Below are 25415 nucleotides of genomic sequence, written 5' to 3' on the forward strand. Positions count from 1 at the left end.
GAATTCCCAGTCACTTCTTTGTGTTGTGTGCATTCAACTCAGAGATTTGAACCTTCCTTTAGAGAGAGCACATTTGAAACACTCTTTTTGTGTAATTTGCTAGGGCAGATTTCAAGCTCTTCGAGGACAATGGTAGGAAAGGAAATATCTTCGTATTAAAACTAGGCAAAATCATTCTCAGAAACTACTTTGTGATGTGTGCGTTCCACTCACAGACTTTAACCTTTCTTTTAATTGAGCAGTTTGGAAACACTCTCTTTGTAAAGTCTGCAGTAGGATATTTGGACCTCTTTGAGGCCTTCGTTGGAAACGGGATTTCTTCTTATAATGCTAGATAGAAGAATTCTCAGTAACTTGTTTGTGTTGTGTGTATTCAACTAACAGAGTTGAACCTTCCTTTAGAAAGAGCAGTTTTCAAACACTCTGTTTGTGCAATTTCCAATGGAGATTTCTAGGGATTTGAGGCCAGTCTTAGAAATGGAAATATCTTTGTATAAAAACTAGACAGTGTCATTCTGAGATACTACCTTGTGATGTGTGCGTTCAACTCACAGAGTTTAACCTTTCTTTTCATAGAGCAGTTTGGAAACACTCTATTTGTAAAGTCTGCAAGTGGATATTTGGACCTCTTTGAGGCCTTCGTTGGAAACGGGATTTCTTCCTATAATGCTAGACAGAAGTATTCTCAGTCACTTCTTTGTGTTGTGTGCATTCAACTCAGAGATTTGAACCTTCCTTTAGAGAGAGCACATTTGAAACACTCTTTCTGTGTAATTTCCTAGTGCAGATTTCAAGCTCTTCGAGGACAATGGTAGAAAAGGAAATATCTTCGTATGAAAACTAGACAAAATCATTCTCAGAAACTACTTTGTGATGTGTGCGTTCCACTCACAGAGTTTAACCTTTCTTTTAATTGAGCAGTTTGGAAACACTATTTTTTTAAAGTCTGCAAGTGGATATTTGGACTTCTTTGAGCCCTTCGTTGGAAACGGGATTTCTCCATATACTGCTAGACAGAAGCATTTTCAGTAACTACTTTGTGTTGTGTGTATTCAAGTCACAGATTTGAACCTTTCTTTAGACAGAGCAGATTTGAAACGCTCTTCTCGTGGCTTTTGCATGTGGAGGTTTCAAACGATTTGAGGCCAATGGTAGAAAAGGAAATTTCTTCGTATAAAAACTAGAGAGAATCATTCTCAGAAATTACTTTGTGATGTGTGCGTGCAACTCACGGAGATTAACCTTTCTTTTCATAGAGCAGGTTGGAAAGACTCTGTCTGTAAGGTCTGCAAGTGGATATTTAGATTTCTGTGAGGCCTTCGTTGCAAACGGGATTTCTTCATATACTCACAGACAGAAGAAATCTCAGTAACTATTTGTGCTGTGTGCATTCAACTCACGGAGTTCAACCTTCCTTTATTCAGAGCAGTTTTGAAACACTCTTTTTGTGGAATTTGCAAGTGGAGATTTCAAGGGATTTGAGGCCAATCTTAGAAATGGAAATATCTTCGAATTAAAACAACACAGAATCGTTCGCAGAAACTAGTTTGTGATGTGTGCGTTCAACTCACAGTGTTTAACGTTTCTTTTCATAGAGCAGTTTGGAAACGCTCTCTTTGTAAAGTCTCCAAGTGGATATTTGGAGCTCTTTGAGCCCTTCGTTGGAAACGGGACTTCTTCATATAATGCTAGACAGAAGAATACTCAGTAACTTCTTTGTGCTGTGTGTATTCAACTCACAGAGTTGAACTTTTCTTTAGACAGAGCAGATTTGATACTCTCTTTTCGTGGCTTTTGCCAGAGGAGATTTCAAGTCATTGGAGGCCAATGGTAGAAAAGAAAATATCTTCGTATAATAACGAAACAGAATCATTCTCAGAAACTTCTTTGTGATGTGTGCGTTCAACTCACAGAGTTTAACCTTTCTTTTCATAGAGCAGGTTGGAAGCACTCTCTTTGTAAAGTCTGCAAGCAGATATTTGGACCTTTTTGAGGCCTTCGTTGGAAACGGGATTTCTTCATATACTGCTAGACCGAAGAATTCTCAGTAACTTCTTTGGGTTGTGTGTATTCAATTCACAGAGTTGAACCTTTCTTTAGACCGAGCAGATTTGAAACTCTCCTTTCGTTGCTTTTGCAAGTGGAGATTTCAAGCGATTTGAGGCCAATTGTAGAAAAGGAAATATCTTCGTATAAAAACTAGACAGAACAATTCTCAGAAACTGCTCTGTGATTTGTGCGTTCAACTCACAGATTTTAAACTTTCTTTTCATAGAGCAGTTTGGAAACACTCTTTTTGTAAAGTCTGCAAGCGGATATTTGGACCTCTTTCAGGCCTTCTTTGGAAAAGGGATTTCTCCATATACTGCTAGCCCGAAGAATTTTCAGTAACTACTTTGTGTTGTGTGTATTCAACTCACAGATTTGAACCTTTCTTTAGACAGAGCAGATTTGAAACGCTCTTTTCGTGGCTTTTGCAAGTAAAGATTTCAAGCGATTTGAGGCCAATGGTAGAAAAGGAAATAGCTTCGTATAAAAACTAGACAGAATCATTCTCAGAATCTGCTTTGTGATGTGTGCGTGCAACTCACGGAGATTAACCTTTCTTTTCATAGAGAAGTTTGGAAAGAGTCTGTCTGTAAGGTCTGCAAGTGGATATTTAGATTTCTGTGAGGCCTTCGTCGCAAACGGGATTTCTTCATATACTGCCTGACAGAAGAATTCTCAGTTACTACTTTCTGTTGTGTGCATTCAACTCACAGAGTTGAACCTTCCTATATTCAGAGCAGTTTTGAAACACTCTTTTTGTGGAATTTGCAAGTGGAGATTTCAAGGGATTTGAGGCCAATCTTAGAAATGGAAATATCTTCGAATTAAAACTACACAGAATCATTCGCAGAAACTAGTTTGTGATGTGTGCGTTCAACTCACAGAGTTTAACGTTTCTTTTCATAGAGCAGTTTGGAAACGCTGTCTTTGTAAAGTCTGCAAGTGGATATTAGGACCTCTTTGAGGCCTTCGTTGGAAACGGGATTTCCTCCTATAATGCTAGACAGAAGAATTCCCAGTCACTTCTTTGTGTTGTGTGCATTCAACTCAGAGATTTGAACCTTCCTTTAGAGAGAGCACATTTGAAACACTCTTTTTGTGTAATTTGCTAGGGCAGATTTCAAGCTCTTCGAGGACAATGGTAGGAAAGGAAATATCTTCGTATTAAAACTAGGCAAAATCATTCTCAGAAACTACTTTGTGATGTGTGCGTTCCACTCACAGACTTTAACCTTTCTTTTAATTGAGCAGTTTGGAAACACTCTCTTTGTAAAGTCTGCAGTAGGATATTTGGACCTCTTTGAGGCCTTCGTTGGAAACGGGATTTCTTCTTATAATGCTAGATAGAAGAATTCTCAGTAACTTGTTTGTGTTGTGTGTATTCAACTAACAGAGTTGAACCTTCCTTTAGAAAGAGCAGTTTTCAAACACTCTGTTTGTGCAATTTCCAATGGAGATTTCTAGGGATTTGAGGCCAGTCTTAGAAATGGAAATATCTTTGTATAAAAACTAGACAGTGTCATTCTGAGATACTACCTTGTGATGTGTGCGTTCAACTCACAGAGTTTAACCTTTCTTTTCATAGAGCAGTTTGGAAACACTCTATTTGTAAAGTCTGCAAGTGGATATTTGGACCTCTTTGAGGCCTTCGTTGGAAACGGGATTTCTTCCTATAATGCTAGACAGAAGTATTCTCAGTCACTTCTTTGTGTTGTGTGCATTCAACTCAGAGATTTGAACCTTCCTTTAGAGAGAGCACATTTGAAACACTCTTTCTGTGTAATTTCCTAGTGCAGATTTCAAGCTCTTCGAGGACAATGGTAGAAAAGGAAATATCTTCGTATGAAAACTAGACAAAATCATTCTCAGAAACTACTTTGTGATGTGTGCGTTCCACTCACAGAGTTTAACCTTTCTTTTAATTGAGCAGTTTGGAAACACTATTTTTTTAAAGTCTGCAAGTGGATATTTGGACTTCTTTGAGCCCTTCGTTGGAAACGGGATTTCTCCATATACTGCTAGACAGAAGCATTTTCAGTAACTACTTTGTGTTGTGTGTATTCAAGTCACAGATTTGAACCTTTCTTTAGACAGAGCAGATTTGAAACGCTCTTCTCGTGGCTTTTGCATGTGGAGGTTTCAAACGATTTGAGGCCAATGGTAGAAAAGGAAATTTCTTCGTATAAAAACTAGAGAGAATCATTCTCAGAAATTACTTTGTGATGTGTGCGTGCAACTCACGGAGATTAACCTTTCTTTTCATAGAGCAGGTTGGAAAGACTCTGTCTGTAAGGTCTGCAAGTGGATATTTAGATTTCTGTGAGGCCTTCGTTGCAAACGGGATTTCTTCATATACTCACAGACAGAAGAAATCTCAGTAACTATTTGTGCTGTGTGCATTCAACTCACGGAGTTCAACCTTCCTTTATTCAGAGCAGTTTTGAAACACTCTTTTTGTGGCATTTGCAAGTGGAGATTTCAAGGGATTTGAGGCCAATCTTAGAAATGGAAATATCTTCGAATTAAAACAACACAGAATCGTTCGCAGAAACTAGTTTGTGATGTGTGCGTTCAACTCACAGTGTTTAACGTTTCTTTTCATAGAGCAGTTTGGAAACGCTCTCTTTGTAAAGTCTCCAAGTGGATATTTGGAGCTCTTTGAGCCCTTCGTTGGAAACGGGACTTCTTCATATAATGCTAGACAGAAGAATACTCAGTAACTTCTTTGTGCTGTGTGTATTCAACTCACAGAGTTGAACTTTTCTTTAGACAGAGCAGATTTGATACTCTCTTTTCGTGGCTTTTGCCAGAGGAGATTTCAAGTCATTGGAGGCCAATGGTAGAAAAGAAAATATCTTCGTATAATAACGAAACAGAATCATTCTCAGAAACTTCTTTGTGATGTGTGCGTTCAACTCACAGAGTTTAACCTTTCTTTTCATAGAGCAGGTTGGAAGCACTCTCTTTGTAAAGTCTGCAAGCAGATATTTGGACCTTTTTGAGGCCTTCGTTGGAAACGGGATTTCTTCATATACTGCTAGACCAAAGAATTCTCAGTAACTTCTTTGGGTTGTGTGTATTCAATTCACAGAGTTGAACCTTTCTTTAGACCGAGCAGATTTGAAACTCTCCTTTCGTTGCTTTTGCAAGTGGAGATTTCAAGCGATTTGAGGCCAATTGTAGAAAAGGAAATATCTTCGTATAAAAACTAGACAGAACAATTCTCAGAAACTGCTCTGTGATTTGTGCGTTCAACTCACAGATTTTAAACTTTCTTTTCATAGAGCAGTTTGGAAACACTCTTTTTGTAAAGTCTGCAAGCGGATATTTGGACCTCTTTCAGGCCTTCTTTGGAAAAGGGATTTCTCCATATACTGCTAGCCCGAAGAATTTTCAGTAACTACTTTGTGTTGTGTGTATTCAACTCACAGATTTGAACCTTTCTTTAGACAGAGCAGATTTGAAACGCTCTTTTCGTGGCTTTTGCAAGTAAAGATTTCAAGCGATTTGAGGCCAATGGTAGAAAAGGAAATAGCTTCGTATAAAAACTAGACAGAATCATTCTCAGAATCTGCTTTGTGATGTGTGCGTGCAACTCACGGAGATTAACCTTTCTTTTCATAGAGAAGTTTGGAAAGAGTCTGTCTGTAAGGTCTGCAAGTGGATATTTAGATTTCTGTGAGGCCTTCGTCGCAAACGGGATTTCTTCATATACTGCCTGACAGAAGAATTCTCAGTTACTACTTTCTGTTGTGTGCATTCAACTCACAGAGTTGAACCTTCCTATATTCAGAGCAGTTTTGAAACACTCTTTTTGTGGAATTTGCAAGTGGAGATTTCAAGGGATTTGAGGCCAATCTTAGAAATGGAAATATCTTCGAATTAAAACTACACAGAATCATTCGCAGAAACTAGTTTGTGATGTGTGCGTTCAACTCACAGAGTTTAACGTTTCTTTTCATAGAGCAGTTTGGAAACGCTGTCTTTGTAAAGTCTGCAAGTGGATATTAGGACCTCTTTGAGGCCTTCGTTGGAAACGGGATTTCCTCCTATAATGCTAGACAGAAGAATTCCCAGTCACTTCTTTGTGTTGTGTGCATTCAACTCAGAGATTTGAACCTTCCTTTAGAGAGAGCACATTTGAAACACTCTTTTTGTGTAATTTGCTAGTGCAGATTTCAAGCTCTTCGAGGACAATGGTAGGAAAGGAAATATCTTTGTATTAAAACTAGACAAAATCATTCTCAGAAACTACTTTGTGATGTGTGCGTTCCACTCACAGACTTTAACCTTTCTTTTAATTGAGCAGTTTGGAAACACTCTCTTTGTAAAGTCTGCAGTAGGATATTTGGACCTCTTTGAGGCCTTCGTTGGAAACGGGATTTCTTCATATAATGCTAGATAGAAGAATTCTCAGTAACTTGTTTGTGTTGTGTGTATTCAACTAACAGAGTTGAACCTTCCTTTAGAAAGAGCAGTTTTCAAACACTCTGTTTGTGCAATTTCCAATGGAGATTTCTAGGGATTTGAGGCCAGTCTTAGAAATGGAAATATCTTTGTATAAAAACTAGACAGTGTCATTCTGAGATACTACCTTGTGATGTGTGCGTTCAACTCACAGAGTTTAACCTTTCTTTTCATAGAGCAGTTTGGAAACACTCTATTTGTAAAGTCTGCAAGTGGATATTTGGACCTCTTTGAGGCCTTCGTTGGAAACGGGATTTCTTCCTATAATGCTAGACAGAAGTATTCTCAGTCACTTCTTTGTGTTGTGTGCATTCAACTCAGAGATTTGAACCTTCCTTTAGAGAGAGCACATTTGAAACACTCTTTCTGTGTAATTTGCTAGTGCAGATTTCAAGCTCTTCGAGGACAATGGTAGAAAAGGATATATCTTCGTATGAAAACTAGACAAAATCATTCTCAGAAACTACTTTGTGATGTGTGCGTTCCACTCACAGAGTTTAACCTTTCTTTTAATTGAGCAGTTTGGAAACACTATTTTTGTAAAGTCTGCAAGTGGATATTTGGACTTCTTTGAGCCCTTCGTTGGAAACGGGATTTCTCCATATACTGCTAGACCGAAGCATTTTCAGTAACTACTTTGTGTTGTGTGTATTCAACTCACAGATTTGAACCTTTCTTTAGACAGAGCAGATTTGAAACGCTCTTCTCGTGGCTTTTGCATGTGGAGGTTTCAAACGATTTGAGGCCAATGGTAGAAAAGGAAATATCTTCGTATAAAAACTAGAGAGAATCATTCTCAGAAATTACTTTGTGATGTGTGCGTGCAACTCACGGAGATTAACCTTTCTTTTCATAGAGCAGTTTGGAAAGACTCTGTCTGTAAGGTCTGCAAGTGGATATTTAGATTTCTGTGAGGCCTTCGTTGCAAACGGGATTTCTTCATATACTCACAGACAGAAGAATTCTCAGTAACTATTTGTGTTGTGTGCATTCAACTCACGGAGCTGAACCTTCCTTTATTCGGAGCAGTTTTGAAACACTCTTTTTGTGGAATTTGCAAGTGGAGATTTCAAGGGATTTGAGGCCAATCTTAGAAATGGAAATATCTTCGAATTAAAACTACACAGAATCGTTCGCAGAAACTAGTTTGTGATGTTTGCGTTCAACTCACAGAGTTTAACGTTTCATTTCATAGAGCAGTTTGGAAACGCTCTCTTTGTAAAGTCTCCAAGTGGATATTTGGAGCTCTTTGAGCCCTTCGTTGGAAACGGGACTTCTTCATATAATGCTAGACAGAAGAATACTCAGTAACTTCTTTGTGCTGTGTGTATTCAACTCACAGAGTTGAACTTTTCTTTAGACAGAGCAGATTTGATACTCTCTTTTCGTGGCTTTTGCCAGAGGAGATTTCAAGTCATTGGAGGCCAATGGTAGGAAAGAAAATATCTTCGTATAATAACTAAACAGAATCATTCTCAGAAGCTTCTTTGTGATGTGTGCGTTCAACTCACAGAGTTTAACCTTTCTTTTCATAGAGCAGGTTGGAAGCACTCTCTTTGTAAAGTCTGCAAGCAGATATTTGGACCTTTTTGAGGCCTTCGTTGGAAACGGGATTTCTTCATATACTGCTAGACCAAAGAATTCTCAGTAACTTCTTTGGGTTGTGTGTATTCAATTCACAGCGTTGAACCTTTCTTTAGACCGAGCAGATTTGAAACTCTCCTTTCGTTGCTTTTGCAAGTGGAGATTTCAAGCGATTTGAGGCCAATTGTAGAAAAGGAAATATCTTCGTATAAAAACTAGACAGAACAATTCTCAGAAACTGCTCTGTGATTTGTGCGTTCAACTCACAGATTTTAAACTTTCTTTTCATAGAGCAGTTTGGAAACACTCTTTTTGTAAAGTCTGCAAGCGGATATTTGGACCTCTTTCAGGCCTTCTTTGGAAACGGGATTTCTCCATATACTGCTAGCCCGAAGAATTTTCAGTAACTACTTTGTGTTGTGCGTATTCAACTCACAGATTTGAACCTTTCTTTAGACAGAGCAGATTTGAAACGCTCTTTTCGTGGCTTTTGCAAGTAAAGATTTCAAGCGATTTGAGGCCAATGGTAGAAAAGGAAATATCTTCGTATAAAAACTAGGCAGAATCGTTCTCAGAATCTACTTTGTGATGTGTGCGTGCAACTCACGGAGATTAACCTTTCTTTTCATAGAGAAGTTTGGAAAGAGTCTGTCTGTAAAGTCTGCAAGTGGATATTTAGATTTCTGTGAGGCCTTCGTTGCAAACGGGATTTCTTCATATACTGCCCGACAGAAGAATTCTGTTACTACTTTCTGTTGTGTGCATTCAACTCACAGAGTTGAACCTTCCTATATTCAGAGCAGTTTTGAAACACTCTTTTTGTGGAATTTGCAAGTGGAGATTTCAAGGGATTTGAGGCCAATCTTAGAAATGGAAATATCTTCGAATTAAAACTACACAGAATCATTCGCAGAAACTAGTTTGTGATGTGTGCGTTCAACTCACAGAGTTTAACGTTTCTTTTCATAGAGCAGTTTGGAAACGCTGTCTTTGTAAAGTCTGCAAGTGGATATTAGGACCTCTTTGAGGCCTTCGTTGGAAACGGGATTTCCTCCTATAATGCTAGACAGAAGAATTCCCAGTCACTTCTTTGTGTTGTGTGCATTCAACTCAGAGATTTGAACCTTCCTTTAGAGAGAGCACATTTGAAACACTCTTTTTGTGTAATTTGCTAGTGCAGATTTCAAGCTCTTCGAGGACAATGGTAGGAAAGGAAATATCTTTGTATTAAAACTAGACAAAATCATTCTCAGAAACTACTTTGTGATGTGTGCGTTCCACTCACAGACTTTAACCTTTCTTTTAATTGAGCAGTTTGGAAACACTCTCTTTGTAAAGTCTGCAGTAGGATATTTGGACCTCTTTGAGGCCTTCGTTGGAAACGGGATTTCTTCATATAATGCTAGATAGAAGAATTCTCAGTAACTTGTTTGTGTTGTGTGTATTCAACTAACAGAGTTGAACCTTCCTTTAGAAAGAGCAGTTTTCAAACACTCTGTTTGTGCAATTTCCAATGGAGATTTCTAGGGATTTGAGGCCAGTCTTAGAAATGGAAATATCTTTGTATAAAAACTAGACAGTGTCATTCTGAGATACTACCTTGTGATGTGTGCGTTCAACTCACAGAGTTTAACCTTTCTTTTCATAGAGCAGTTTGGAAACACTCTATTTGTAAAGTCTGCAAGTGGATATTTGGACCTCTTTGAGGCCTTCGTTGGAAACGGGATTTCTTCCTATAATGCTAGACAGAAGTATTCTCAGTCACTTCTTTGTGTTGTGTGCATTCAACTCAGAGATTTGAACCTTCCTTTAGAGAGAGCACATTTGAAACACTCTACTTGTGTAATTTGCTAGTACAGATTTCAAGCTCTTCGAGGACAATGGTAGAAAAGGAAATATCTTCGTATGAAAACTAGACAAAATCATTCTCAGAAACTACTTTGTGATGTGTGCGTTCCACTCACAGAGTTTAACCTTTCTTTTAATTGAGCAGTTTGGAAACACTATTTTTGTAAAGTCTGCAAGTGGATATTTGGACTTCTTTGAGCCCTTCGTTGGAAACGGGATTTCTCCATATACTGCTAGACCGAAGCATTTTCAGTAACTACTTTGTGTTGTGTGTATTCAACTCACAGATTTGAACCTTTCTTTAGACAGAGCAGATTTGAAACGCTCTTTTCGTGGCTTTTGCAAGTAAAGATTTCAAGCGATTTGAGGCCAATGGTAGAAAAGGAAATATCTTCGTATAAAAACTAGACAGAATCGTTCTCAGAATCTACTTTGTGATGTGTGCGTGCAACTCACGGAGATTAACCTTTCTTTTCATAGAGAAGTTTGGAAAGAGTCTGTCTGTAAGGTCTGCAAGTGGATATTTAGATTTCTGTGAGGCCTTCGTTGCAAACGGGATTTCTTCATATACTGCCCGACAGAAGAATTCTGTTACTACTTTCTGTTGTGTGCATTCAACTCACAGAGTTGAACCTTCCTATATTCAGAGCAGTTTTGAAACACTCTTTTTGTGGAATTTGCAAGTGGAGATTTCAAGGGATTTGAGGCCAATCTTAGAAATGGAAATATCTTCGAATTAAAACTACACAGAATCATTCGCAGAAACTAGTTTGTGATGTGTGCGTTCAACTCACAGAGTTTAACGTTTCTTTTCATAGAGCAGTTTGGAAACGCTGTCTTTGTAAAGTCTGCAAGTGGATATTAGGACCTCTTTGAGGCCTTCGTTGGAAACGGGATTTCCTCCTATAATGCTAGACAGAAGAATTCCCAGTCACTTCTTTGTGTTGTGTGCATTCAACTCAGAGATTTGAACCTTCCTTTAGAGAGAGCACATTTGAAACACTCTTTTTGTGTAATTTGCTAGTGCAGATTTCAAGCTCTTCGAGGACAATGGTAGGAAAGGAAATATCTTTGTATTAAAACTAGACAAAATCATTCTCAGAAACTACTTTGTGATGTGTGCGTTCCACTCACAGACTTTAACCTTTCTTTTAATTGAGCAGTTTGGAAACACTCTCTTTGTAAAGTCTGCAGTAGGATATTTGGACCTCTTTGAGGCCTTCGTTGGAAACGGGATTTCTTCATATAATGTTAGATAGAAGAATTCTCAGTAACTTGTTTGTGTTGTGTGTATTCAACTAACAGAGTTGAACCTTCCTTTAGAAAGAGCAGTTTTCAAACACTCTGTTTGTGCAATTTCCAATGGAGATTTCTAGGGATTTGAGGCCAGTCTTAGAAATGGAAATATCTTTGTATAAAAACTAGACAGTGTCATTCTGAGATACTACCTTGTGATGTGTGCATTCAACTCACAGAATTTAACCTTTCTTTTCATAGAGCAGTTTGGAAACACTCTATTTGTAAAGTCTGCAAGTGGATATTTGGACCTCTTTGAGGCCTTCGTTGGAAACGGGATTTCTTCATATACTGCTAGACCAAAGAATTCTCAGTAACTTCTTTGGGTTGTGTGTATTCAATTCAGAGAGTTGAACCTTTCTTTAGACAGAGCAGATTTGAAACTCTCCTTTCGTTGCTTTTGCAAGTGGAGATTTCAAGCGATTTGAGGCCAATTGTAGAAAAGGAAATATCTTCGTATAAAAACTAGACAGAATCATTCTCAGAATCTACTTTGTGATGTGTGCGTGCAACTCACGGAGATTAACCTTTCTTTTCATAGAGAAGTTTGGAAACACTCTGTCTGTAAGGTCTGCAAGTGGATATTTAGATTTCTGTGAGGCCTTCATTGCAAACGGGATTTCTTCATATACTGCCCGACAGCAGAATTCTCAGTTACTACTTTCTGTTGTGTGCATTCAACTCACAGAGTTGAACCTTCCTTTATTCAGAGCAGTTTTGAAACACTCTTTTTGTGGAATTTGCAAGTGGAGATTTCAAGGGATTTGAGGCCAATCTTAGAAATGGAAATATCTTCGAATTAAAACTACACAGAATCATTCGCAGAAACTAGTTTGTGATGTGTGCGTTCAACTCACAGAGTTTAACGTTTCTTTTCATAGAGCAGTTTGGAAACGCTGTCTTTGTAAAGTCTGCAAGTGGATATTAGGACCTCTTTGAGGCCTTCGTTGGAAACGGGATTTCCTCCTATAATGCTAGACAGAAGAATTCCCAGTCACTTCTTTGTGTTGTGTGCATTCAACTCAGAGATTTGAACCTTCCTTTAGAGAGAGCACATTTGAAACACTCTTTTTGTGTAATTTGCTAGTGCAGATTTCAAGCTCTTCGAGGACAATGGTAGGAAAGGAAATATCTTTGTATTAAAACTAGACAAAATCATTCTCAGAAACTACTTTGTGATGTGTGCGTTCCACTCACAGACTTTAACCTTTCTTTTAATTGAGCAGTTTGGAAACACTCTCTTTGTAAAGTCTGCAGTAGGATATTTGGACCTCTTTGAGGCCTTCGTTGGAAACGGGATTTCTTCATATAATGCTAGATAGAAGAATTCTCAGTAACTTGTTTGTGTTGTGTGTATTCAACTAACAGAGTTGAACCTTCCTTTAGAAAGAGCAGTTTTCAAACACTCTGTTTGTGCAATTTCCAATGGAGATTTCTAGGGATTTGAGGCCAGTCTTAGAAATGGAAATATCTTTGTATAAAAACTAGACAGTGTCATTCTGAGATACTACCTTGTGATGTGTGCGTTCAACTCACAGAGTTTAACCTTTCTTTTCATAGAGCAGTTTGGAAACACTCTATTTGTAAAGTCTGCAAGTGGATATTTGGACCTCTTTGAGGCCTTCGTTGGAAACGGGATTTCTTCCTATAATGCTAGACAGAAGTATTCTCAGTCACTTTTTGTGTTGGGTGCATTCAACTCAGAGATTTGAACCTTCCTTTAGAGAGAGCACATTTGAAACACTCTTTTTGTGTAATTTGCTAGTGCAGATTTCAAGCTCTTCGAGGACAATGGTAGAAAAGGAAATATCTTCGTATGAAAACTAGACAAAATCATTCTCAGAAACTACTTTGTGATGTGTGCATTCCACTCACAGAGTTTAACCTTTCTTTTAATTGAGCAGTTTGGAAACACTCTCTTTGTAAAGTCTGCAGTAGGATATTTGGACCTCTTTGAGGCCTTCGTTGGAAACGGGATTTCTTCATATAATGCTAGATAGAAGAATTCTCAGTAACTTGTTTGTGTTGTGTGTATTCAACTAACAGAGTTGAACCTTTCTTTAGACAGAGCAGATTTGAAACGCTCTTTTCGTGGCTTTTGCATGTGGAGGTTTCAAACGATTTGAGGCCAATGGTAGAAAAGGAAATATCTTCATATAAAAACTAGAGAGAATCATTCTCAGAAATTACTTTCTGATGTGTGCGTGCAACTCACGGAGATTAACCTTTCTTTTCATAGAGCAGTTTGGAAAGACTCTGTCTGTAAGGTCTGCAAGTGGATATTTAGATTTCTGTGAGGGCTTCGTTGCAAACGGGATTTCTTCATATACTCACAGAAAGAAGAATTCTCAGTAACTGTTTGTGTTGTGTGCATTCAACTCACTAAGTTGAACCTTCGTCTATTCAGGGTATTTTTGAAACACTCTTTTTGTGGAATTTGCAAGTGGAGATTTCAAGGGATTTGAGGACAATCGTAGAAAAGGAAATATCTTTGTATTAAAACTACACAGAATCATTCTCAGAAATTAGTTTGTGATGTGTGTGTTCAACTCACAGAGTTTAACCTTTCTTTTTATAAAGCAGTTTGGAAACACTCTATTTGTAAAGTCTGCAAGTGGATATTTCTACCTCTTTGAGGCCTTCATTGGAAACGGGATTTTTTCATATAATGATAGACAGAAGAATTCTCAGTAAATTCTTTGTGTTGTGTGTATTGAACTCAGAGAGATGAACCTTCCTTTAGACAGAGCAGGGTTGAAACACACTGTTTGTGGAACTTGCAAGTGGATATTTCAAGCGATTTGAGACCTATATTAGAAATGTAAATATGTTCGTATAAAAACTACACAGAATCATTCTCAGAAACTACTTTGTGATGTGTGCGTTCAGCTCACAGAGTTTAACCTTTCTTTTCATAGAGTAGTTTGGAAACACTCTGTTTGTAAAGTCTGCAGGAGGATATTTGGACCTCTTTGAGGCCTTCGTTGGAAACGGGATTTCTTCATACAATGTTAGATAGAAGAATTCTCAGTCACTTCTTTGTGTTGTGTGCATTCAAATCACAGAGTTGACCCTTCCTTTAGACAGAGCAGTTTTAAAACACTCTGTTTGTGGAATTTCTAATGGAGATTTCTAGGGATTTGAGGCCAGTCTTAGAAATGGAAATATCTTTGTATAAAAACTAGACAGAGTCATTCTGAGAAACTACCTTGTGATGTGTGCGTTCAACTCACAGAGATTAACCTTTCTTTTCATAGAGCAGTTTGGAAACACTGTGTTTGTGAAATCTGCAAGTGGATATTTGGACCTCTTTGAGGCCTTCGTTGAAAACGGGATTTCTTCATATAATGTTAGATAGAAGAATTCTCAGTAACTTGTTTTGTGTTGTGTGTATTCACCTAACAGAGTTGAACCTTCCTTTAGACAGAGCTGTTTTAAAACACTCTGTTTGTGGAATTTCCAATGGCTATTTGAAGCGATTTGAGGCCAATCATTGAAATGGAAATATCTTCGTGTAAAAATTAGACAGAATCATTCTCTGCAACTACTTTGTGATGTGTGCGTTCAACTCACAGAGTTTAACTTTTCTTTTCCTAGAACAGTTTGGAAATACTCTTTTTGTAAAGTCTGCAAGTGGATATTTGGGCCTCTTTGTGTCCTTCGTTGGAAACGGGTTTCCTTCATATAATGCTAGACAGGAGATTTCCCAGTAACTTCTTTGTGTTGTGTGGATTCAACTCACATAGTTGAACCTTTCTTTAGACACAGCAGATTCGAAAATCTGTTCTTGTGTACTTTGCAAGTGGAGATTTCAAGCGATTTGTGGCCCATGGTAGAAAGGAAATATATTCGTATAAAACTAGACAGAATCGTTCTCAGAAACTACGTTGTGATGTGTGCGTTCAACTCACAGAATTTAACCTTTCTCTTCATAGAGCAGTTTGGAAACACTCTGTTTGTAAAGTCTGCAAGTAGATATTTGACCTCTGTGAGCCCTTCGTTGGAAAAGGGATTTGTTCATATAATGCTAGACGGAAGAATTCTCACTAATTTCTTTCTGTTGTTTTTATTCAACTCACAGAGTTGAACCTTTCTTTAGACAGAGCAGATATGAAACACTCATTTCGTGGCTTTTGCAAGTGGAGATTTCAAGCGATTTGAGGCCAATGGTAGAAAAGGTAATATCTTCATATATAAACTAGACAGAATCATTCTCTGAAACTACTTTTTGATGTGTGCATTCAACTCACAGAGATTAACGTTTCTTTTCATAGAGCAGTTTGGAAAACTCTGTCTGTAAGTCTGCAAGTAGATATTTGGACTTCTTATAGGCCTTCATTGGAAAAGGGATTTCTTCATATACTGCTAGACAGAAGAATTCTCAGTAACTTCTTTCAGTTGTGTGTATTCAACTCACAGAATTGAACATTACTTTATCCAGAGAAGTTTTGAAATACTCTTTTTGTGGAATTTGCAATTGGAGATTTCAAGAGGTTTGAGGCCATTCTTAGAGATGGAAATATCTTCGCATTAAAACTACATAGAATCATTCGCAGAAACTAGTTTGTGATGTGTGCGTTCACCTCACAGAGTTTAACCTTTATTTTGATAGAGCAGTTGGGAAACACTCTATTTGTAATGTCTGCATGTGGATATATGGACCTCTTTGAGCCCTTCGTTGGAAATGGGATTTCTTCCTATAATGCTAGACAGAAGAATTCTCAGTAACTTCTTTGTGTTGTGTGCATTCAACTCACAGAGTTGAACGTTCTTTAGAGAGAGCAGATTTGAAACACTCTTTTTGTGGAATTTGCTAGTGCAGATTTGAAGCGCTTCGAGGACAATGGTAGAAAAGGAAATATCTTCGTATTAAAACTAGACAAAATCTTTCTCAGAAAATACTTTGTGATGTGTGCGTTCAACTCTCAGAGTTTAACCTTTCTTTTCATGAAGCCATTTGGAAATACTCTGTTTGTTAAGTCTGCAAGCGGATATTTTGACCTCTTTGAGGCCTTCGTTGGAAACCGGATTTCTTCATATACTGCCAGACCGAATAATTCTCAGTAACTTCTTTGTGTTGTGTGTATTCAACCCACAGAGTTGAACCTTTCTTTAGACAGAGCAGATTTGAAACTCTCTTTTCGTGGCTTTTGCAAGTGGAGATTTCAAGCGATTTGAGGCCAATGGTAGAAAAGGAAATATCTTCGTATAAAAACTAGACAGTATCATTCTCAGAAACTACTTTGTGTTGTGTGCTTTCAACTCACAGAGTTTAACCTTTCTTTTCATAGAGCAGTTTGGAAACACTCTGTTTGGAATATCTGCAAGTGGATATTTGGACCTTTTTGACACTTTCCTTGGAAAAGGGATTTCTCCATGTATTGCTAGACAGAAGAATTTTCAGTAACTTCTTTGTGTTGTGTGTATTCAACTCACAGAGTTGAACCTTTCTTTAGACAGAGCAGTTTTGAAACTCTCTTTTCGTGGCTTTTGCAAGTGGAGATTTCAAGCGATTTGACGCCAATGTTAGAAATGTAAATATCTTCATATAAAAGCTACAGAGAATCATTCTCAGAAACTACTTTGTGATGTGTGCGTTCAACTCACAGAGTTTAACCTTTCTTTTAATTGAGCAGTTTGGAAACACTCTGTCTGTAAAGTCTACAAGTGGTTATTTGGATCTCTTTGAGGCCTTCGTTGGAAAAGGGATTTCTTCAGATAATGCTAGACAGAAGAATTTTCAGTAACTTCTTTGTGTTGTGTCTGTTCAACTCACAGTTTTGAAACTTCCTTTACACAGAGCAGATTTGAAACACTCTTTTTGTGGAATTTGCAAGTGCAGATTTCAAGCGCTTCTAGGCCAATTGTAGAAAAGGAAGTATCTTCGTATAAAAACTAGACAGAATCATTCTAAAGAACTACTTTGTGATGTGTGCATTCAACTCACAGAGTTTAACCTTTCTTTTCATAGAGCAGTTTGGAAACACTCTGTTTGTAAAGTCTGCAAGTGCATATTTGGACTTCTTTGAGGCCTTCGTTGGAAACGGGATTTCTTCATATAATGCTAGACAGAAGAATTCTCAGTAACTACTTTGTGTTGTGTGTATTCAACTCACAGAGTTGAACCTTCCTTTAGACAGAGCAGTTTTGAAAAACTCGTTGTTGTGGAATTTGCAAGTGGAGATTTCTAGCGATTTGTGGCCAGTCTTTGAAATAGAAATATCTTCTTGTAAAAACTGGACAGAATCATTCTCAGAAACTACTTTGCTATGTGTGTATTCAACTCACAGAGTTTAACCTTTATTTTCATAGAGGAGTTTGTAAACACTCTGTGTGTAATGTCTGCAAGTGGATATTTAGACCTCTTTGAGGCCTTTGTTTGAAACGGTATTTCTTCATGTAATGCTAGACAGAATAATTCTCACTAACTTCTTTGTGTTGTGTGTATTCAACTCATAGAGTTCAACCTTCCTTTAGACACAGCAGATTCGAAACTCTCTTTTTGTGGAATTTTCATGTGGAGATTTCAAGTGATTTGTGGCCAATTGTAGAAAAGGAAATATCTTCCTATAAAAACTAGAGAGAATCATTCTCAGAAACTACTTTGTGATGTGTGCATTCAACTCACAGGGTTTAACCTTTCTTTTAATTGAGCAGTTTGTAAACACTCTCTTTGTAAAGTGTGCAAGTGGATATTTAGACCTGTTTGAGCCCTTCGTTGGAAACGGGACTTCTTCATATAATGCTAGACAGAAGAATTCTCAGTAACTTCTTGGTGTTGTGTGTATTCAACTCATAGAGTTCAACCTTCCTTTAGACACAGCAGATTCGAAACTCTCTTTTTGTGGAATTTTCATGTGGAGATTTCAAGTGATTTGTGGCCAATTGTAGAAAGGGAAATATCTTCCTATAAAAACTAGAGAGAATCATTCTCAGAAACTACTTTGTGATGTGTGCATTCAACTCATAGGGTTTAACCTTTCTTTTAATTGAGCCGTTTTTAAACACTCTCTTTGTAAAATGTGCAAGTGGATATTTAGACCTGTTTGAGCCCTTCGTTGGAAACGGGACTTCTTCATATAATGCTAGACAGAAGAATTCTCAGTAACTTCTTGGTGTTGTGTGTATTCAACTGACGGAGTTGAACCTTCCTTTAGACACAGCAGATTTGAAACTCTCTTTTTGTGGAATTTTCAGGTGGAGATTTCAAGCAGTTTGAGGACAGTGGTAGAAAAGGAATTATCTTCGTATAAAAACTAGAAAGAATCATTTTCAGAAACTGCTTTTTGATGTGTGCATTCAACTCACAGAATTTAACCTTTCTTTTCATAGATTAGTTTGGAAACACTCTGTTTGTAAAGTCTGCAAGTGGATATTTGGACCTCTTTGAGGCCTTCGTTGGAAACGGGATTTCTTCATATAATGCTAGACAGAAGAATTCTCAGTAACTTCTTTGTGTTGCGTGTATTCAACTCACACAGTTGAAACTTCCTTTAGTCAGAGCAGATTTGAAACACTGTTTTTGTGCAGTTTGCAAGTGGAGATTTCAAGAGTTTGAGGCCAATGGTAGAAAAGGATATATCTTCGTATAATAAGTAGATACAATCATTCTCAGAAACTACTTTGTGATGTGTACGTTCCACTCACAGAGTTTAACCTTTCTTTTCATAGAGCAGTTTAAACACTCTGTTTCTAAAGTCTGCAAGTGGATATTTGGACCTCTTTGAGGCCTTCGTTGGAAGCAGGGTTTCTTCGTATAATGCTAGACAGAGGAATTCTTAGTAACTTCTTTGTGTTGTCTGTACTCAACTCACAGAGTTTAACCTTCCTTTAGACAGAGCAGGTTTGAAACACTCTTTTTGTGGAATTTGCAAGTGGAGATTTCAAGTGGTTTGGGGCTAATGGTAGAAAAGGAAATATCTTCGTATAAAAACTAGACAGAATTATTCTCAGAAAGTACTTTGTGATGTGTGCATTCAACTCACAGAGTTTAACCTTTCTTTTCATAGAGTAGTTTGGAAACACTCTGTTTGTAAAGTCTGCAAGTCGATATTTGGACCTCCTTGAAAGCTTTGTTGGAAAAGTTAGTTCTTCATATAATGCTAGACAGAAGAATTCTCAGTAATTTTTTTGTGTTGTGTGTATTCAACTCTCAGAGTTGAACCTTCCTTTAGATAGAGCAGATTTGAAACTCTCTTTTTGTGGAATTTCAAGTGTAGATTTCAAGCGCTTTTGGGACAATGGTAGAAAATTAAATATCTTCCTAGAAATACTAGAGAGAAGCATTCTCAGACACTATTTTCTGATGTGCACGTTCGACTCACTGAGATTAACCTTTCTTTTCATAGAGCAGTTTTTCAACACTCTGTTTGTAATGTCTGCAAGTGGATATTTGGACCCCTTTGTTGCCTTCGTTGGAAATTGTGGGGAAAAGCAAGAGAGATCAGATTGTTACTGTGTCTGTGTAGAAAGAAGTAGACATAGGAGACTCCATTTTGTTATGTACTAAGAAAAATTCTTCTGCCTTGAGATTGTTAATCTATAACCTTACCCCCAACCCCGTGCTCTCTGAAACGTGTGCTGTGTCAACTCAGAGTTAAATGGATTAAGGGCGGTGCAAGATGTGCTTTGTTAAACAGATGCTTGAGGGCAGCACTCTCCTTAAGGGTCATCACCACTCCCTAATCTCAAGTACCCAGGGACACAAAAACTGCAGAAGGCCGCAGGGACCTCTGCCTAGGAAAGCCAGGTATTGTCCAAGGTTTCTCCCCATGTGATAGTCTGAAATATGGCCTCGTGGGAAGGGAAAGACCTGACCGTCCCCCAGCCTGACACCCGTAAAGGGTCTGTGCTGAGGAGGATTAGTAAAAGAGGAAGGAATGCCTCTTGCAGTTGAGACAAGAGGAAGGCATCTGTCTCCTGCCTGTCCCTGGGCAATGGAATGTCTCGGTATAAAACCCGATTGTATGCTCCATCTACTGAGATAGGGAAAAACCGCCTTAGGGCTGGAGGTGGGACCTGCGGGCAGCAATACTGCTTTGTAAAGCATTGAGATGTTTATGTGTATGCATATCTAAAAGCACAGCACTTAATCCTTTACATTGTCTATGATGCAAAGACCTTTGTTCACGTGTTTGTCTGCTGACCCTCTCCCCACAATTGTCTTGTGACCCTGACACATCCCCCTCTTTGAGAAACACCCACAGATGATCAATAAATTCTAAGGGAACTCAGAGGCTGGCGGGATCCTCCATATGCTGAACGCTGGTTCCCCAGGTCCCCTTTTTTCTTTCTCTATACTTTGTGTCTGTGTCTTTTTCTTTTCCAAATCTCTCGTCCCACCTTACGAGAAACACCCACAGGTGTGTAGAGGCAACCCACCCCTACAGAAATGGTATTTCTACATTCAATGCTAGACAGAAGAATTCTCAGTAACTTCTTTGTGTTTTGTGTAATCAACTCACAGTGATGAACCTTCCTTTAGACAGAACAGATTTGAAACTCTCTTTTTGTGGAATTTTCAGATGCAGATTTCAAGCGATTTGAGGCCAATGGTAGAAAAGGAAATATCTTCGCATAAAAACTAGACAGAATCATTCTGAGAATCTTCTTTGTGATGTGTGCGTTCTACTCACAGAATTTTACCTTTCTTTTCACTGGAAGAAAGGGTGTCATTGATGGAAGATCAAATGAATGAAATCTAGTGAGAAGAGAAATTGTGAGAAAAAAGAACAAAAAGAAATGAACAATCTTCGAAGAAATATGGGACTATGTGAAAAGACCAAATCTGATTGGTGTACCTGGACGTGATGGGGAGAATGGAACCAAGTTGGAAAACGCTCTGCAGGATATTATCCAGTAGAATTTCTCCAATCTAAGAAGGCAGGCCTACATTGAAATTCAGGAAATACAGAGAATGCCTCAAAGATACTATTGGAGGAGGGCCACTCCAAGACACATAATTGTCAGAAACACCAAATTTTAAATGAAGGAAAAAATGTTAAGAGAAGCCAGAGAGACAGGTCAGGTTACCCACAAAGGGAAGCCCATCAGACTAACAGCTGATGTCTCAGCAGAATCTCTACAAGCCAGAAGAGTGTGGGGGCCAATATTCAAAGAGAAGAATTTTAATCCAGAATTTCATATCCACCCGAACTAAGCTTCATAAGTGAAGGAGAAATAAAATACGTTACAGAGAAGCAAATGCTGAGAAATTTTGCCACCACCAGGCCTGCTCTAAAGAGCTCCTGAAGGAAGCACTATACATGGAAAGGAACAACAGGTGCCAGCCACTGCCAAAACATGCAAATTGTAAATACCATTGAGCCTAGGAATAAACTGCATCAACTAATGAGCAGAATAACCAGCTAACATCTTAATGACAGGATCAAATTCACACAAAATAATACTAACCTTAAATGTAAATGGGCTAAATGCTCCAATTAAAAGACACAGTCTGGCAAGTTTGATAGAGTCAAGACCCATCAGTGTGCTGTATTCAGGAAACCCATCGCACATGCAGAGACACATATAGGCTCAAAATAAAGGGATGGAGGAAGATCTACCAAGCAAATGAAAACAAAAAAAGTAGGGGTTGCAGTCCTAGTCTCTGATAAAACAGACTTTAAACCAACAAAGATCAAAAGAGACAAAGAAGGCCATTACATAATGTTAAAGGGATCAATTCAACAAGAAGAGCTAACTATCCTAAACATATATGCACCCAATACTGGAGCACCCAGATTCATAAAGCAAGTCCTTGGAGACCTACAAAGAGACTTAGACTCCACACAGCAATAATAGGAGACTTTAATACCCCACTGTCAACATCAGACAGATCAGCGAGGCAGAAATTTAACAAGGATATCCAGGAATTGAACTCAGCTCTGCACCAAGTGGACCTAATAGACGTCTACAGAACTCTCCACCCCAAATCAACAGAATATATATTCTTCTCAGCACCACACCACACCTATTCCAAAAATGACCACATAGTTGGAATTAAAGCAGTCCTCAGCAAACATAAAAGAACAGAAATTACAACAAACTGTCTCTCAGACCACAGTGCAATCAAACTAGATCTCAGGATTAAGAAACTCACTCAAAACCAATCAACTACATGGAAACTGAACAACCAGCTCCTGAATGACTACTGGGTACATAACGAAATGAAGGCAGAAATAAAGATGTTCTTTGAAACCAATGAGAACAATGACACAACATACCAGAATCTCTGGGACACATTCAAAGCAGTGTGTAGAGGGAAATTTATAGCACCAAATGACCACAAGAAAAAGCAAGAAAGATCTAAAATTGACACCCTAACATCACAATTAAAAGAACTAGAGAAGCAAGAGCAAACACATTCAAAAGCTAGCAGAAGGCAAGAAATAACTAAGATCAGAGCATAACTGAAGGAGATAGAGACACAAGAAACCCTTGAAAAAATCAATGAATCCAGGAACCGGTTTTTTTGAAAAGATCAACAAAATTGAAAATACTCTTTTTAAATAATATGTGAAGGGACATTGGGGAGCCCTTTAAGCCTATCTGGTAAAACTGAATATCCCTGATAAACACTGGAAAGAAACTAACTGTGAAACAGTTTTGTGATGTGTAGATTCATCACAAATTTTAAACCTTTGTTTTGATTCAGCCAGTAGGCAACACTCTTTTTGAACCATCTGCAAAAGGACAGTTGGGATCCCATTGAAGCCTATGGAGAAAAACAGAATATCACCAGATTAAAACCAGAAAGAAGCTCTGTGAAACTTCTCTCCAATGTGTGGATTCATATCACAGAGTTAAGCCTTTCTTTTGATCCAGCATGTTGGAAACTCTCTTTTCATAGAATCTACAAAGGTACATTTAAGAGCCCATTGAGGCTTATGAGCAAAACCAGAAATTCCCCAGTTAAACAACTCAAAAGAAGATATTTGTGAAACACTTTGTGTTGTGTGGATTCATCTAACAGAGGAAAACTTTTCTTCTGATCCAGCAGGTTGGTAGCACTCTTTTTGGAGAATCTACCAAGTACATTTTGGAGCCCATTGATGCCTACAAAGAATAACAAAATAGCCTCAGATAAAAACTAGAAAGAACCTATCGAGGAAACTGCTTTGTGAAGTGTGGATCCATCTCAGAGAGTTAAACCTTTATTTTGGTACAGCAGGTTATAGACAATCTTTTTGTAGAATCTGTGGAGGGATGTTTCGGAGTCCATTGAAGCCTATGTGTAAAAACTGAATAACCCATGATAAAAACTAGAAAGAAACTATCTGTGGAACTGCTTTGTTATGTATGGATTCAAATCACAGAGTTAAATGTTTATTGCAATACAGCAGGTTAGAAACACTCTAATTGTTGAATGTGTGAAGGGACATGTTGGAGCTCATTTTGGCCTATGAGGAACAAGAGAATATCCCCAGATTAAAACTAGAAAGAAGCTATCTGTGAAACATCTTTGTGATGTGTACATTCATCTGATAGAGTTATAGCGATCTTTTCATTCAGCAGGTTGGAGACACTCTTTTTTTTTCCAAAGGGATATTTAGAACCCCATTGAGACTTAGGGGGAAAAAATGAATATCCCTAAATAAAAACTAGAAAGCAGCTTTCTGTGAAACTGCTTTGTGATGTGTGGACTCATCTTACAGAGTTACAATTTTCTTTTGATTCAGCAGGTTGGAAACACTCTTTTTGTAGTATGTGTGAGGAGACATTTTGGAATCCTTTGAGGCTTACAAAGTAAATCCAAATATCCCCAGATAAAAACTAGAAGGAAGGTATCTGTGAAACTGCTTTGTGATGTGCAGATGGATATCACAGATTTAAATCTTTCTTTTGATAAAGCAGATTGAAAGTAATCTTTTTGGAGAATCCCCAAAGGCACATTTGGGAGCCCATTGAGGCCTGTGGGGACAAACAGACTATCCCCAGATAAAAACTAGAAAGAAGCTATCTGTGAAACTGCTTTGTGATGTGTGGATTCATCCACAGAGTTACAACTTTCTTTTGATTCAGCAGGTTAAAAACACTCTTTTTGTAGTATGTGTGAAGAGACAGTTTGGAGCCCTTTGAGACTTATGGAGTAAAACCAAATATCCTCAGATAAAAACTAGAAGGAAGCTATCTGTGAAACTGCTTTGTGATGTGTGGATGGATCTCACAGAGTTAAACCTTTTTTTTTCATACAGCAGATTTTTGAGAATCTGTGAAGGAACATTTGACAACCCATTGAGGCTCATTGGTTAAAACTAATATCCTCACATAAAAACTAGAAAGAAGCTATCTGTGAAACTGTTTTGTGACATGTGAATTCATCTCACTGAATTAAACCATTTTTTTGACACAGCAGGTTGGACATGCTCTTTTTAGACAACCTGCAGAAGGACATTTGGAAGCCTATTGAGGCCTACGGGGAAAAACGGAATATCCCCAGATAATAACTAGAAAGAAGCAATCTGTGAAACTGCTTTGTGCTGTGGGGGTTCATGTCACAGGAATAAATATTTTTTTTTGATTCAGCAGGGTGGAAACACTCTTTTTGCAGAATCTGCAAAGGGATATTTGGGAGCCCATTGTGTCCTAAGGGGAAAACAGAGTATCCTCAAATTAAAACTATAAAGAAGCTATCTGTGACACTGCTTTGTGATCTGTGGATTCATCTCACAGAGGTAAACCTTTCTTTGTATTCACCAAATTAAAAACCACACTTTTTGTAGAATCTATGAAGGGATATTTTGGAGCCCATTAATGCCTATGAAAAAAACTGAATATCCCCAGATAAAAAATAGAAAGAAGCTATCTGTGAAATTGGTTTGTGATGTTTGGGTTTTCTCACAGAGTTAAATCTTTCATTTGGTTCAGCAGGTTATAAACACTCTTTTTGTAGATTTACTAAGGGATATTTTGGAGCCATTTAAACCCTATTAAAAAAAACTGAATATCCCCAGAAAAAAATTAGAAAGAACCTATCTGTGAAACTGCATTGTGTTATATGGATTCATCTCACAGAGGTAAAACTTTCTAGTGTTTCAGCAGATTGGGTATATGCTAATTTTTGAATCTGCAAAGGGACATTTGGGAGCCCTTTGATGCCTTGTAGAAAAAGTTAATATCCCCAGATTAAAACTAGATAGAAACTATCTGTGAAACTGCTTTGTGATTTG

The 25415-nt window shown here is 38.0% G+C and overlaps 24 annotated features.

Annotated features, from left to right (window-relative positions):
* Nucleotides 581-1097: an enhancer, noted in NCBI's record as "OCT4-NANOG-H3K27ac hESC enhancer chr10:42545591-42546107 (GRCh37/hg19 assembly coordinates)". NCBI's record gives its function as "activates a minimal SCP1, AML or CMV promoter by ChIP-STARR-seq in naive and primed H9 embryonic stem cells {active_cell/tissue: H9 hESC(naive and primed)}" and the evidence as "EXISTENCE:reporter gene assay evidence [ECO:0000049][PMID:30033119]".
* Nucleotides 1098-1613: an enhancer, noted in NCBI's record as "OCT4-NANOG-H3K27ac-H3K4me1 hESC enhancer chr10:42545075-42545590 (GRCh37/hg19 assembly coordinates)". NCBI's record gives its function as "activates a minimal SCP1, AML or CMV promoter by ChIP-STARR-seq in naive and primed H9 embryonic stem cells {active_cell/tissue: H9 hESC(naive and primed)}" and the evidence as "EXISTENCE:reporter gene assay evidence [ECO:0000049][PMID:30033119]".
* Nucleotides 1614-2130: an enhancer, noted in NCBI's record as "OCT4-NANOG-H3K27ac-H3K4me1 hESC enhancer chr10:42544558-42545074 (GRCh37/hg19 assembly coordinates)". NCBI's record gives its function as "activates a minimal SCP1, AML or CMV promoter by ChIP-STARR-seq in naive and primed H9 embryonic stem cells {active_cell/tissue: H9 hESC(naive and primed)}" and the evidence as "EXISTENCE:reporter gene assay evidence [ECO:0000049][PMID:30033119]".
* Nucleotides 2131-2646: an enhancer, noted in NCBI's record as "OCT4-NANOG-H3K27ac-H3K4me1 hESC enhancer chr10:42544042-42544557 (GRCh37/hg19 assembly coordinates)". NCBI's record gives its function as "activates a minimal SCP1, AML or CMV promoter by ChIP-STARR-seq in primed H9 embryonic stem cells {active_cell/tissue: H9 hESC(primed)}" and the evidence as "EXISTENCE:reporter gene assay evidence [ECO:0000049][PMID:30033119]".
* Nucleotides 2647-3163: an enhancer, noted in NCBI's record as "OCT4-NANOG-H3K27ac-H3K4me1 hESC enhancer chr10:42543525-42544041 (GRCh37/hg19 assembly coordinates)". NCBI's record gives its function as "activates a minimal SCP1, AML or CMV promoter by ChIP-STARR-seq in primed H9 embryonic stem cells {active_cell/tissue: H9 hESC(primed)}" and the evidence as "EXISTENCE:reporter gene assay evidence [ECO:0000049][PMID:30033119]".
* Nucleotides 3164-3679: an enhancer, noted in NCBI's record as "OCT4-NANOG-H3K27ac-H3K4me1 hESC enhancer chr10:42543009-42543524 (GRCh37/hg19 assembly coordinates)". NCBI's record gives its function as "activates a minimal SCP1, AML or CMV promoter by ChIP-STARR-seq in primed H9 embryonic stem cells {active_cell/tissue: H9 hESC(primed)}" and the evidence as "EXISTENCE:reporter gene assay evidence [ECO:0000049][PMID:30033119]".
* Nucleotides 3680-4197: an enhancer, noted in NCBI's record as "OCT4-NANOG-H3K27ac hESC enhancer chr10:42542491-42543008 (GRCh37/hg19 assembly coordinates)". NCBI's record gives its function as "activates a minimal SCP1, AML or CMV promoter by ChIP-STARR-seq in primed H9 embryonic stem cells {active_cell/tissue: H9 hESC(primed)}" and the evidence as "EXISTENCE:reporter gene assay evidence [ECO:0000049][PMID:30033119]".
* Nucleotides 4492-5441: an enhancer, noted in NCBI's record as "OCT4-NANOG-H3K27ac-H3K4me1 hESC enhancer chr10:42541247-42542196 (GRCh37/hg19 assembly coordinates)". NCBI's record gives its function as "activates a minimal SCP1, AML or CMV promoter by ChIP-STARR-seq in primed H9 embryonic stem cells {active_cell/tissue: H9 hESC(primed)}" and the evidence as "EXISTENCE:reporter gene assay evidence [ECO:0000049][PMID:30033119]".
* Nucleotides 5442-6391: an enhancer, noted in NCBI's record as "OCT4-NANOG-H3K27ac-H3K4me1 hESC enhancer chr10:42540297-42541246 (GRCh37/hg19 assembly coordinates)". NCBI's record gives its function as "activates a minimal SCP1, AML or CMV promoter by ChIP-STARR-seq in naive and primed H9 embryonic stem cells {active_cell/tissue: H9 hESC(naive and primed)}" and the evidence as "EXISTENCE:reporter gene assay evidence [ECO:0000049][PMID:30033119]".
* Nucleotides 6392-7341: an enhancer, noted in NCBI's record as "OCT4-NANOG-H3K27ac-H3K4me1 hESC enhancer chr10:42539347-42540296 (GRCh37/hg19 assembly coordinates)". NCBI's record gives its function as "activates a minimal SCP1, AML or CMV promoter by ChIP-STARR-seq in naive and primed H9 embryonic stem cells {active_cell/tissue: H9 hESC(naive and primed)}" and the evidence as "EXISTENCE:reporter gene assay evidence [ECO:0000049][PMID:30033119]".
* Nucleotides 7342-8293: an enhancer, noted in NCBI's record as "OCT4-NANOG-H3K27ac-H3K4me1 hESC enhancer chr10:42538395-42539346 (GRCh37/hg19 assembly coordinates)". NCBI's record gives its function as "activates a minimal SCP1, AML or CMV promoter by ChIP-STARR-seq in naive and primed H9 embryonic stem cells {active_cell/tissue: H9 hESC(naive and primed)}" and the evidence as "EXISTENCE:reporter gene assay evidence [ECO:0000049][PMID:30033119]".
* Nucleotides 8294-9243: an enhancer, noted in NCBI's record as "OCT4-NANOG-H3K27ac-H3K4me1 hESC enhancer chr10:42537445-42538394 (GRCh37/hg19 assembly coordinates)". NCBI's record gives its function as "activates a minimal SCP1, AML or CMV promoter by ChIP-STARR-seq in primed H9 embryonic stem cells {active_cell/tissue: H9 hESC(primed)}" and the evidence as "EXISTENCE:reporter gene assay evidence [ECO:0000049][PMID:30033119]".
* Nucleotides 9244-10193: an enhancer, noted in NCBI's record as "OCT4-NANOG-H3K27ac hESC enhancer chr10:42536495-42537444 (GRCh37/hg19 assembly coordinates)". NCBI's record gives its function as "activates a minimal SCP1, AML or CMV promoter by ChIP-STARR-seq in naive and primed H9 embryonic stem cells {active_cell/tissue: H9 hESC(naive and primed)}" and the evidence as "EXISTENCE:reporter gene assay evidence [ECO:0000049][PMID:30033119]".
* Nucleotides 10194-11143: an enhancer, noted in NCBI's record as "OCT4-NANOG-H3K27ac-H3K4me1 hESC enhancer chr10:42535545-42536494 (GRCh37/hg19 assembly coordinates)". NCBI's record gives its function as "activates a minimal SCP1, AML or CMV promoter by ChIP-STARR-seq in naive and primed H9 embryonic stem cells {active_cell/tissue: H9 hESC(naive and primed)}" and the evidence as "EXISTENCE:reporter gene assay evidence [ECO:0000049][PMID:30033119]".
* Nucleotides 11144-12095: an enhancer, noted in NCBI's record as "OCT4-NANOG-H3K27ac-H3K4me1 hESC enhancer chr10:42534593-42535544 (GRCh37/hg19 assembly coordinates)". NCBI's record gives its function as "activates a minimal SCP1, AML or CMV promoter by ChIP-STARR-seq in naive and primed H9 embryonic stem cells {active_cell/tissue: H9 hESC(naive and primed)}" and the evidence as "EXISTENCE:reporter gene assay evidence [ECO:0000049][PMID:30033119]".
* Nucleotides 12096-13045: an enhancer, noted in NCBI's record as "OCT4-NANOG-H3K27ac-H3K4me1 hESC enhancer chr10:42533643-42534592 (GRCh37/hg19 assembly coordinates)". NCBI's record gives its function as "activates a minimal SCP1, AML or CMV promoter by ChIP-STARR-seq in naive and primed H9 embryonic stem cells {active_cell/tissue: H9 hESC(naive and primed)}" and the evidence as "EXISTENCE:reporter gene assay evidence [ECO:0000049][PMID:30033119]".
* Nucleotides 13046-13995: an enhancer, noted in NCBI's record as "OCT4-NANOG-H3K27ac-H3K4me1 hESC enhancer chr10:42532693-42533642 (GRCh37/hg19 assembly coordinates)". NCBI's record gives its function as "activates a minimal SCP1, AML or CMV promoter by ChIP-STARR-seq in naive and primed H9 embryonic stem cells {active_cell/tissue: H9 hESC(naive and primed)}" and the evidence as "EXISTENCE:reporter gene assay evidence [ECO:0000049][PMID:30033119]".
* Nucleotides 13996-14945: an enhancer, noted in NCBI's record as "OCT4-NANOG-H3K27ac-H3K4me1 hESC enhancer chr10:42531743-42532692 (GRCh37/hg19 assembly coordinates)". NCBI's record gives its function as "activates a minimal SCP1, AML or CMV promoter by ChIP-STARR-seq in naive and primed H9 embryonic stem cells {active_cell/tissue: H9 hESC(naive and primed)}" and the evidence as "EXISTENCE:reporter gene assay evidence [ECO:0000049][PMID:30033119]".
* Nucleotides 14946-15897: an enhancer, noted in NCBI's record as "OCT4-NANOG-H3K27ac-H3K4me1 hESC enhancer chr10:42530791-42531742 (GRCh37/hg19 assembly coordinates)". NCBI's record gives its function as "activates a minimal SCP1, AML or CMV promoter by ChIP-STARR-seq in naive and primed H9 embryonic stem cells {active_cell/tissue: H9 hESC(naive and primed)}" and the evidence as "EXISTENCE:reporter gene assay evidence [ECO:0000049][PMID:30033119]".
* Nucleotides 15898-16847: an enhancer, noted in NCBI's record as "OCT4-NANOG-H3K27ac-H3K4me1 hESC enhancer chr10:42529841-42530790 (GRCh37/hg19 assembly coordinates)". NCBI's record gives its function as "activates a minimal SCP1, AML or CMV promoter by ChIP-STARR-seq in naive and primed H9 embryonic stem cells {active_cell/tissue: H9 hESC(naive and primed)}" and the evidence as "EXISTENCE:reporter gene assay evidence [ECO:0000049][PMID:30033119]".
* Nucleotides 16848-17799: an enhancer, noted in NCBI's record as "OCT4-NANOG-H3K27ac-H3K4me1 hESC enhancer chr10:42528889-42529840 (GRCh37/hg19 assembly coordinates)". NCBI's record gives its function as "activates a minimal SCP1, AML or CMV promoter by ChIP-STARR-seq in naive and primed H9 embryonic stem cells {active_cell/tissue: H9 hESC(naive and primed)}" and the evidence as "EXISTENCE:reporter gene assay evidence [ECO:0000049][PMID:30033119]".
* Nucleotides 17800-18749: an enhancer, noted in NCBI's record as "OCT4-NANOG-H3K27ac-H3K4me1 hESC enhancer chr10:42527939-42528888 (GRCh37/hg19 assembly coordinates)". NCBI's record gives its function as "activates a minimal SCP1, AML or CMV promoter by ChIP-STARR-seq in naive and primed H9 embryonic stem cells {active_cell/tissue: H9 hESC(naive and primed)}" and the evidence as "EXISTENCE:reporter gene assay evidence [ECO:0000049][PMID:30033119]".
* Nucleotides 18580-18716: a silencer, noted in NCBI's record as "fragment chr10:42527972-42528108 (GRCh37/hg19 assembly coordinates)". NCBI's record gives its function as "represses an EF-1alpha promoter that drives an FKBP-Casp9 reporter gene in an ReSE screen in K562 erythroleukemia cells {active_cell/tissue: K562}" and the evidence as "EXISTENCE:reporter gene assay evidence [ECO:0000049][PMID:32094911]".
* Nucleotides 18750-19701: an enhancer, noted in NCBI's record as "OCT4-NANOG-H3K27ac-H3K4me1 hESC enhancer chr10:42526987-42527938 (GRCh37/hg19 assembly coordinates)". NCBI's record gives its function as "activates a minimal SCP1, AML or CMV promoter by ChIP-STARR-seq in primed H9 embryonic stem cells {active_cell/tissue: H9 hESC(primed)}" and the evidence as "EXISTENCE:reporter gene assay evidence [ECO:0000049][PMID:30033119]".

Source organism: Homo sapiens, chromosome 10 (assembly GCF_000001405.40).
Source record: "Homo sapiens chromosome 10, GRCh38.p14 Primary Assembly".
In the NCBI taxonomy this organism is placed as follows: Eukaryota; Metazoa; Chordata; class Mammalia; order Primates; family Hominidae; genus Homo; species Homo sapiens.